The following is a 10225-nucleotide window of genomic DNA, read 5'->3' on the forward strand; positions in this document are numbered from 1 at the left end:
AAAAAAAGCTTTGTCTTGATTAATACTTTAAATCTATGTATAATACACGGAGGTCATGAGGTAAGAATGTCTTATATGAGAATTTGTAAAGCACGTTATTCAGGTATAGGAATATTTCTATGCACTCAAAAATAAAATGGCTAGATAGAAAATATAAGTTTTATAAGCAAGAAAAGCACAATTGAATCTGAGTTTCAGATTGTTTTTTAGTATTAAGTATACCCAAATATTGCATGAGGCACACTTATACTAAATAAAATAATGTTCTTTTTTTATCTGAAATGCAAATTTTTAGGACTCCTATAACTTAATTTGCTAAACTGGAAAATGGCCGTATATAATACTTTATAATAATTACTGTTGATATTTTTTACTTTGAAAAACACTCAATTAACTTATTAAGTAAATGGAAAGATAAATAATAGATAAAATGATAAATTGAACTAATTAATATTTTTAAACAAGAAAATGTGTATATAGATAAAAAAAATATTACGCTATATAGGAGAGAAAAAAGTTATTTTCCTCTATCCCTCCTGGGTTCTTCTGCTGGGGTCATGCAAATTACAGTGCAGAAAGACAGAGTAACAAGAGAGGAGCAAACAAGTTTATTAACATTGCATTACTCATTCATATGGAAGCACTCAGGACTAACTCAAAGGGCTGATGACAACTTGGGCATATACAGCATCTTAATGAAAGAAAAATAAATTCTTAGAGAGAAGGACTTTGGAGTTTCTAAGGTTACAAATTGCAGGAAGTTAAATATATGGGAGAAACTTATGGAAGATAAGGCTAGCTAGTGAAGTTTACTATGTAAATTCTTCTGGTCCTCTCTTTGGGCTATTAAGAGTCTAGGGTTTTCTCTGTGATTAAAGCTGTTTTTTCTTGTAGAGAAGGGATGAAGGACACCTTTACAAATTTGTGTTGTTCATTTAGTCAAATAGAAGGAGTTTTTCTTGTATCTGCTTCTTCTCATTTACTTTCAGCTCGGTATAATCCTTATGCCATATAAGTGACATATTCTGCAACCCTCAGCAATGTCTGATGAATTTATGAAATTATAATCATACAAACTACAAATGTTCTGTCTTTGAAAATAACTTAATGGGATTAGCTATTAATAAATAATTACTGAAAGTGTTTACTTTGACTACTATTCTTGTTATCTAGCTAATCAGAGGAGCACTATAAAGACTTTAATACAAAGTAAAATATTAAATAAAACAATAATGATGTGAATAATATAATAATCTGTAACTTATGTAAATGCTGTTATATTATTTTAACAGTAGTCACTTTAATCATAGCTAATTGCAGACAATTTTACTTAATAAAATGTATTTTTTTAGAGAAATGTATATTTTCATAAATTACTAATGTATTTTTAATAATTTATAAAAATTTAATATAAAAGCAAAAATATTATTTTTTAAGATGAGTGTGATTTACATTAGGCCTATATATATATCATTGTGTAACTTGAGGAAGAGTTAAAATTAGCACTTACATACATTTTGAGAAGTCACTATAACTAATATGGAAATTCTTTATTAATCTCCTAAAAATAATGTTTACTTTAACAAAAGAGAAGTTAAGAGTGCTAATAATAAGTTAATATGAAGATTTTTAAAATGATGTAATGATGCAATTAAAAGAGTTGCAAACTAAAGGAAATGACTAAAGCAAGTCTCAATGAATTAGAGGTTTATTTTGCAAAGCTTGAGGACGTGCCCATGGGAGAAAAAAACACAAATTACAGTAGTGTCTGTGATCCATTCCTTTTCCAAAGAGGTTTTTGAGAAATTCAGTATTAAAAGGGGAAAAAGGAGGCAGGAAGAGAAGTAGAAAATAAAAAAAGAGATGGTGCGTAATGATATAAGCAGTGACATTCTTGTGAGCCTTTGATTTGCACTCCCTGAATCCACATGTTACGTGAGAAAGGAGGTGGCAGTCAATTATGCTTTCATCTCATGAGCTCACCAAATCTGCATTTTACATAAGATGAACATAGAGTAGAGGAAAAAGTCAAGCATGGCTTTGTCATCTTAGGGTGGGTGAAAAAATGATTTCTAATCTGTCTTTCTACCATTGCTGTGAAGATAAGGTGTTAATTTACATTGCCAATGTGAGGGAGGCCACCTGAGGGGATGTGTGCCTTCTATCTTGCAGCTATCTGTTTAGAAACAAAATGAAAGGCAGTTTTTAGCTTTTTTGAGTTACTCAGTTTCAAAGCTTAACTGTTCCCATTGGCATAGTGAGTTTGGTGTCCCAAGATTTTATTTTCCTTTCACGGAGTTAACATTAACACATTTTGTCTATATATCTGAAAAAAAAAAATGAGGTAACATTTACAGATTTTGATTGTGCCTAGTGATTATAAGGAGCCTCCTGTGAATATTTACCTGGTATTTTCTGATTATTTTTCCTTTTAATACTAAGTATTTCCTTTTATTTATTTTTTTACTTTTGCAATATAATTCATCAGTAGATTAGAATTTCAAATATTTTGGCAGGGAAGTGTAGAAGTTCTCATTTTACTTCTACTGAGTCTAAATTCAGGTGTAAGAACAAAGAAGTACATCAAAAATTTTATCTTCTATAGAGAATTAACATTTTTAAAGTAAAAAATAAAAATTTTTTGTGTCTCAACATGAAAACACATAAAAATCACTGGAATATAATGTCGTAGGCTGAAATTAGAAGGATCAAAAGGGTAATTTTACAAAGAAAAATAAGTGGCTCGATTTAATTATTTGCTTTTTTTTTCCCCAAAAAATGGTATCTTGAGACTTCTAACTTCCCAAACATTATTCTGCATAAAGCTTCATTTAAAGATTACAGATAATGGCTTTCATACCCAAGTTCACTATGGTTTTATAATTTACTATTTAACTTATCTTAAAAATAGTTAATTCCAATAGCAGGATTTTCTCAGAAACATTATTTTATTTATGCCTAGTACATTTTAGCAGTTTTAACATTAGGGACTTTAGTTAAATTTCAAATTTATTATGCACTTAGCTAATTAAGCCCTTTCAGACTATATATGTAAATTTATACCTTCAGGTTATCACCTAAAGTATTACAATTGCCTACTTTAACATATTCCTAAATATTTAAATACTCATTTAAAAAATTGTACATATATGCTCTGTAATCTTTAGAAATATTTCAATATTGTATAAATATTTAGTAAGAAACAACTGAAAGTTTAAATCAAGTGATTCATTTTGAATTGAAATGTAACTAAGTATTTTGAATTGGAATTACTAATTTTATTTTATTTTTCTCCAATAGGCTAAATTCTCTTCCTCTTTTTTTTTAACTTATATTTTAGTTTCAGGAGTATATATGCAGGTTTGTAATATAGGTAATTGTGCATCACTGGGGTTTGGAATATAGATTATTCCAATGGTATCTCATTGTGGTTTTGATTTGCATTTCTTCAATGGTTAGTGGTATTGAGAACTTTTTTATTTGCTTATTGGCCACACATATATGGTCTCCTTTTGAAAAGTGACTGTTGATGTCCTTTACCCACTTTTGAATTGGTTTGCTTGATTTTGCTTGTTAATTTAAGTTCCTTACAGGTTCTTGGTATGAAACCTTTACAGGATACACACTTTGTAAATATTTTCTCACAATCTGTGGGTCGTCTATTTATTCTGTTGATAGTTTCTTTTGCTGTGCAGAAGCTTTTTAGTTTAATTTAATTAGGTCCCATTTATCAATATTTGTTTTTGTTGCAATTGCTTTTGGCATCTTCATCATCAAAGTTTTGCCAGCACCTATGTCCAGAATGGTATTTCCTAGGTTATCTTCCAGGGTTTTTATAGTTTCAGGTTTTACATTTAAATCTTTAGTTCATCTTGTGTTGATTTTTGTGCATCTCATAAGGAAGCAATCTGGTTTCAATTTTCTGCAATATTGCTATCCAGTTATCTCAGAACCAGTTATTAAATGGGGAGTCCTTTCCCCCTTGCTTTTTTTTTGTTAGCTTTTTGAACATCAGATAGTTGTAGGTGTGCAACATTATTTCTGGGCTCTCTATTCTGTCCTGTTGTTCTGTGTGTCTGTTTTTGTATCAGTACCATGGTGTTTTGGTTACAGTAACTTTCATGCGCGTCCGTGTGAAGAGACCACCAAACAGGCTTTGTGTGAGCAACATGGCTGTTTATTTCACCTGGGTGCAGGCGGGCTGAGTCCGAAAAGAGAGTCAGTGAAGGGAGATGGGGTGGGGCCGTTTTATAGGATTTGGGTAGGTAAAGGAAAATTACAGTCAAAGGGGGGTTGTTCTCTGGCGGGCAGAGTGGGGGTCACAAGGTGCTCAGTAGGGGAGCTTTTGAGCCAGGATGAGCCAGGAGAAGGAATTTCACAAGACAATGTCATCAGTTAAGGCAGGAACAGGCCATTTTCACTTCTTTTGTGGTGGAATGTCATCAGTTAAGGCAGGAACCGGCCATCTGGATGTGTACATGCAGGTCACAGGGGATATGATGGCTTAGCTTGGGCTCCGAGGCCTGACATTCCTGTCTTCTTATATTAATAAGAAAAATAAAATGAAATAGTGGTAAAGTGTTGGGGCGGTGAAAATTTTTGGGGGTGGTATGGAGAGACAATGGGCGATGTTTCTCAGGGTGCTTTGAGTGGGATTAGGGGCAGCATGGGAACCTAGAGTGGGAGAGATTAAGCTGAAGGAAGATTTTGTGGTAAGGGGTGATATTGTGGGACTGTTAGAAGAAATATTTGTCATTTAGAATTATTGGTAATGGCCTGGATACAGTTTTGTATGAATTGAAAAACTAAACGGAATAAGAGAAGGAGAAAAACAGCTATTAAAGGTCTAAGAATTGGGAGGACGTAGGACATCTAATTAGAGAGTGCCTAAGGAAATTCAGCATAGTCCTGCCAGCAAAGATTATTTATTTACTTCAAGAGTTAAGAGTGGCAGTTTGGGGATAGCACCAGGAGACATCAGCTGTGATGGCTTGGAGAAACAGTGTAAACTGGCAGTGTAAACAAGAGCAGAGCATGTATGAGTAGTTCAGAACGGTGAATAGGAGTATGACTAGACAGAAGATAGTAGAGATGACAAGTTTTTTTGGGGCACAGTCTAAGTTAGTCTGGTGTCTGGAATGAGACTGGGGCCTAATAAAAAGGAGCATCTATACAGGACCTCAAATGGGCTGTACACTGTAGCATTCTGAGGACAGGTCTGACTTCTGAGAAGGGAAAGTGGTAAAAGTATTGTCTAGTCCTTTTTAAGTTGGTGGCTGAGCTTGGTGAGGTGTGTTTTTAAAAGACCATTAGTCTGTTCTACTTTTCCTGAAGACTGAGGACTGTAAGGGATATAAAGGTTTCACTGAATACTAAGAGCCTGAAAAAATGCTTGGCTGATTTGACTAATAAAGGCTGGTCTGCTATCAGACTGTATAGAGGTGGGAAGGCTAAACTGAGGAATTATGTCTGACAGAAGGGAAGAAATGACTGCAGTGGCCTTCTCAGACCCTGTAGGAAAGGACTCTACCTATCCAGTGAAAGTGTCTACCTAGACTAAGAGGTATTTTAGTTATCTGACTCGGGGCATGTTGAGTAAAGCTAATTTGCAAGTCCTGGGTGGGGGCAAATCCTCGAGCTTGATGTGTAGGGAAGGGAGGGGGGCCTGAATAATCCTTGAGGAGTAGTAGAATAGCAGATGGAACACTGAGAAGTTATTTCCTTGAGGATAGATTTCCACGATGGAAAGGAAATGAGAGGTTTTAAGAGGCGGGCTAGTGACTTGTACTATAGCATAGCCTGCCTTTGCTGGTGTGTGGCGATTAGGCCTGGTGGAACTGCCATTAATAAATCAAGCGTGATCAGGGTGAGGAGCAGGAAAGAAGGAAATATGCGGAAATGGGGTGAATGTCAGGTGGATCAGAGAGATACAGTCATGAGGGTCAGGTGTGGTATCCAGAATAATGTGGGAGGCCGGACTGAAGTCTGGGCCAGGAACAATGGTAATTGTGGGACTTAACAAAGAGTGAGTACAGCTGAAGGAGCCAGGGAACAGAAAGTATATGTGTCAGGTATGAGGAAGAAAATAGATTTTGGAAGTTATGAGAAATGTAGAGAGTGAGTTGAGCATAGTTTGTGATTTTGAGGGCCTCTGAAAGTATTAGAGTGGCAGCAGCTGCTGCACGGAGACACGAAGGCTAGGCTAAAACAGTAAGGTCAAGTTGTTTGGACAGAAAGGCTACAGGGTGCAGTCTTGGCTCTTGTGTAAGAATTCTGACTGCACTAACCATGCCTAGGAAGGAAAGGAGTTGTTGTTTTGTAAGGGATTGAGGTTTGGGAGATTAATCGGACATGATCAGCAGGGAAAGCACGTGTGTTTTTATGAGAATTATGCCGAGATAGGTAACAGATGAGGATGAAATTTCGGCTTGACTGAAGTAATGGGGGCTGTCTGTGAAGCCTTGCGGCAGTACAGCCCAGGTAATTTGCTGAGCCTGATGGGTGTCAGGGTCAGTCTAAGTGAAAGCAAAGAGAGGCTGGGATGAGGGGTGCAGGGGAATAGTGAAAAAAGCATCTTTAAGATCGAGAACGGAATAGTGAGTTGTGGAGGAAGGTATTGAGGACAAAAGAGTGTACGGGTTGGGCACCACAGGATGGATAGGCAAAACAATTTGGTTGATAAGGCGCAGATCCTGAACTAATCTGTAAGACTTGTCCAGTTTTTGGACAGGTAAAATGGGGGAATTGTAAGGAGAGTTTATAGGTTTTAGAAGCCCATGCTGTAGCAGGCGAGTGATAACGGGCTTTAATCCTTTTAAAGCGTGCTGTGGGATGGGATATTGGCATTGAGCGGGGTAAGGGTGATTAGGTTTTAATGGGATGGTAATGGGCATGTGATCCTTGCCAGGGAAGGAGTAGAGATGTCCCATACTTGTGTGTTAAGGTGGGGGGATACGAGAGGAAGACGCGAAGGAGGCTTTGGGTTGGGGAGAAGGGTGGCAATGAGATGCAGCTGTAGTCCAGGAATAGTCAGGGAAGCAGATAATTTGGTTAAAGTGTCTCGGCCTAATAAGGGAACTGGGCAGGTGGGGATAACTAAAAAAGAGTGCATAAAAGAGTGTTGTCCAAGTTGGCACCAGAGTTGGGGAGTTTTAAGAGGTTTAGAAGCCTGGCCGTCAGTAACCACAACAGTTATGGAGGCAAGGGAAACAGGCCCTTGAAAAGAAGGTAATGTGGAGTGGGTAGCCTCCGTATTGATTAAGAAGGGGACAGACTTACCCTCCACTGTGAGAGTTACTGGAAGCTTGGCATCCGTGATGGTCTAGGGGGCTTCCGAGGCCATCAGCCACCATCAGTCTTCAGCTGCTAAGCCAAGAAGACCCAGGAAGGAGTCAGAGCCTTGGGCCAGAGTTCCAGGGGCTCTGGGAGTGGCTGCCAGGTGAGTTGGACAGTCCGATTTCCAGTGGGGTCCCGCACAGATGGGACGTGGCTTAGGAGGAATCCTGGGCTGCAGGTATTCCTTGGCCTGGTGGCCAGATTTCTGGCACTTGTAGCAAGCTACTGGGGGAGGAGGTTCTGGAGGAATGCCTGGCTGCTGCGGTTCAGGTGTTTGGAAGTTCTTGTGTGCTGGAGATGTGGCTGGGGTTTGTCTCACAGTGGAGGCAAGGAATTGCAACTGTTTTCTATTATTGTACACCTTGAAGGTGAGGCTAATTAAATCCTGTTGTGGGGTTTGAGGGCCGGAATTTAATTTTTGGAGTTTTATTTAATGTCGGGAGCAGATTGGGTAATAAAATGTATTTTGAGAATAAGACGGCCTTTTGACATTTTAGGGTCTAGAGCTGTAAAGTGTCTCAGGGTTGCTGCCAAACAAGTCATGAACTGGGCTGGATTTTTATATTTGATGAAAAAGAGCCTAAATGCTATCTGATTTGGGATAAAGAAAAAGGAGCATTAACCTTGACTATGCCTTTAGCTCCAGCCACCTTTTTAAGAGTAAATTGCTGGGCAGGTGGGGGAGGGCTAGTCATGGAAGGAAACTGTAAGCCTGACTGGGTGTGAGGAGGGGAGGTGATAAAAGGATTATAGGGTGGAGGAGCTGAGGCTGAGGAAGAATTGGGACCTAGCTCGGCCTGGCCAGGAGGGGAGAGGTCAGATAGGTCTGTAGAAAAGGAAGATTAGAAAGACTCAGTGACGCTTGGGATTGGGACTGAGGGGACAGGTGGGAGGGAAAGAAGGAAGATTTGGGACGAGTTGCATTGGGCACAGAGACTAGGAAGGGACCGATGTGTAAAAGAATGCCTGGACGTCAGGCACCTCAGACCATTTGCCCATTTTATGACAAGAATTATTTAGATCTTGTAGGATGGAAAAATTGAAAGTGCCATTTTCTGGCTATTTGGAACTACTATCGAGTTTGTATTGGGGTCAAGTGGCATTGCAGAAGAAAATAAGACACTTAAGATTTTAGGTCAGGTGATAGTTGAAGAGGTTTTAAGTTCTTAAGAACACAGGCTAAGGGAGAAGAAGGAGGAATGGAAGGTGGAAGCTTGCCCATAGTGAGGGAGGCAAGCCCAGAGAAAAGAATAGAGACACGGAGAAGGGGTGGGGGGTTCTTGCCCTCCACAAAAGCGGGAAAGGGGTTGGGGTGTGGAAATAAGGGGTTGGGGCACCGAGATAAGAGGTCGGGGCATGGAAATAAGGGATTGGGGTGCAGAGATACAAGGTTGGGGTATTTGCTCCTCCCCCAGAAAAGCGGGACTTGTCACTAAGGGTGAAGGAGAAGGGGTTGGGGGTTTCTTGCCCCCCAGAAAGGTGGAGAAGGGGTAGAGACACGGAGAGAAGGGGTTGGGGTACTTGCCCCTTCCCCAGAAAAGTGGGACTTGCCACTAAGGGTGAAGGACCAAGGCAGGCGTCCCTGCGTGGTCTGACACCTCTGAAACCTGGGTGAATAATCAAAGAGGCATCCCTGCAATAATTAAACACCAAGGGAAGGCTGCCTTCCCAGTCAATGACCAGCGCCGGAGTTCTGGGTCCACCAATAAAATGTGTCTCCTTTGTCTCTACCAGAAAATGAAAGGAATTGAAATTAAAAGAAGGGAGAGATTGAAGAGTGGAAAGGAGAAAGAGGCTGAGAAACAGTGAGAGAGGTTGCAGAAGAGAGTAAGAAGAGGGGGCTTACCCGATTTGAAATTGGTGAGATGTTTCTTGGGCTGGTCAGTCTGAGGACCTGAGGCATAGGTGGATCTTTCTCACAGAGCAAAGAGCAGGAGGACGGGGGATTGATCTCCCAAGGGAGGTCCCCCAATCCAAGTCACGGCACCAAATTTCATACACGTCTGTGTGAAGAGACCACCAAACAGGCTTTGTGTGAGCAACATGGCTGTTTATTTCACCTGGGTGCAGGCGGGCTGAGTCCGAAAAGAGAGTCAGGGAAGGGAGATGGGGTGGGGCCGTTTTATAGGATTTGGGTAGGTAAAGGAAAATTACAAAGGGGGGTTGTTCTCTGGCGGGCAGAGTCGGGGGTCACAAGATGCTCAGTAGGGGAGCTTTTGAGCCAGGATGAGCCAGGAGAAGGAATTTCACAAGACAATGTCATCAGTTAAGGCAGGAACAGGCCATTTGCACTTCTTTTGTGGTGGAATGTCATCAGTTAAGGCAGGAACCGGCCATCTGGATGTGTACATGCAGGTCACAGGGGATATGATGGCTTAGCTTGGGCTCAGAGGCCTGACAGTAACTGTGTGGTATAGTTTGATGTAGGGTAATATAATGCCTTCAGCCTAGTTCTTTTTGCTTAGAATTGCCTTGAATATTCAGGCTTTTTGTTTGTTTGTTTGTTTTGGTTCCATATGGACTTTAAAATAGCCTTTTCTAATTCTGTGAAGAATGTCTTTGGTAGTTTGGTAAGAATAGCATAGAATCGGTAAACTGCTTTGGGCCATATGGCTATTTTAACAATATTGATTTTTCCTATCCATAAGCATGAAATGTTTTACGTTTTGTAATTCTCATTGTAGAGATCTTTCCCCTTCATGATTCACTGTGTTCCTAGGTATTTTATTTCTTTTGTGGCTACTGGGAATAGCATTGTGTTCTTGATTTGGCTTTCAGCCTGGGTGTTGTTGGTGTATAGAAATGCAACTGACTTTTGCACATTAATATTTTATCTTAAAACTTTGCTGGAGTGGCTTATCAGATCAAAGAACTTTTGGGCTGATACTGT

At 39.7% G+C, this 10225-nt stretch overlaps 1 annotated feature.

Annotated features, from left to right (window-relative positions):
- Positions 9331-9914: an enhancer, noted in NCBI's record as "OCT4-NANOG hESC enhancer chr4:135604303-135604886 (GRCh37/hg19 assembly coordinates)". NCBI's record gives its function as "activates a minimal SCP1, AML or CMV promoter by ChIP-STARR-seq in primed H9 embryonic stem cells {active_cell/tissue: H9 hESC(primed)}" and the evidence as "EXISTENCE:reporter gene assay evidence [ECO:0000049][PMID:30033119]".

Source organism: Homo sapiens, chromosome 4 (assembly GCF_000001405.40).
Source record: "Homo sapiens chromosome 4, GRCh38.p14 Primary Assembly".
Lineage (NCBI taxonomy): Eukaryota > Metazoa > Chordata > Mammalia > Primates > Hominidae > Homo > Homo sapiens.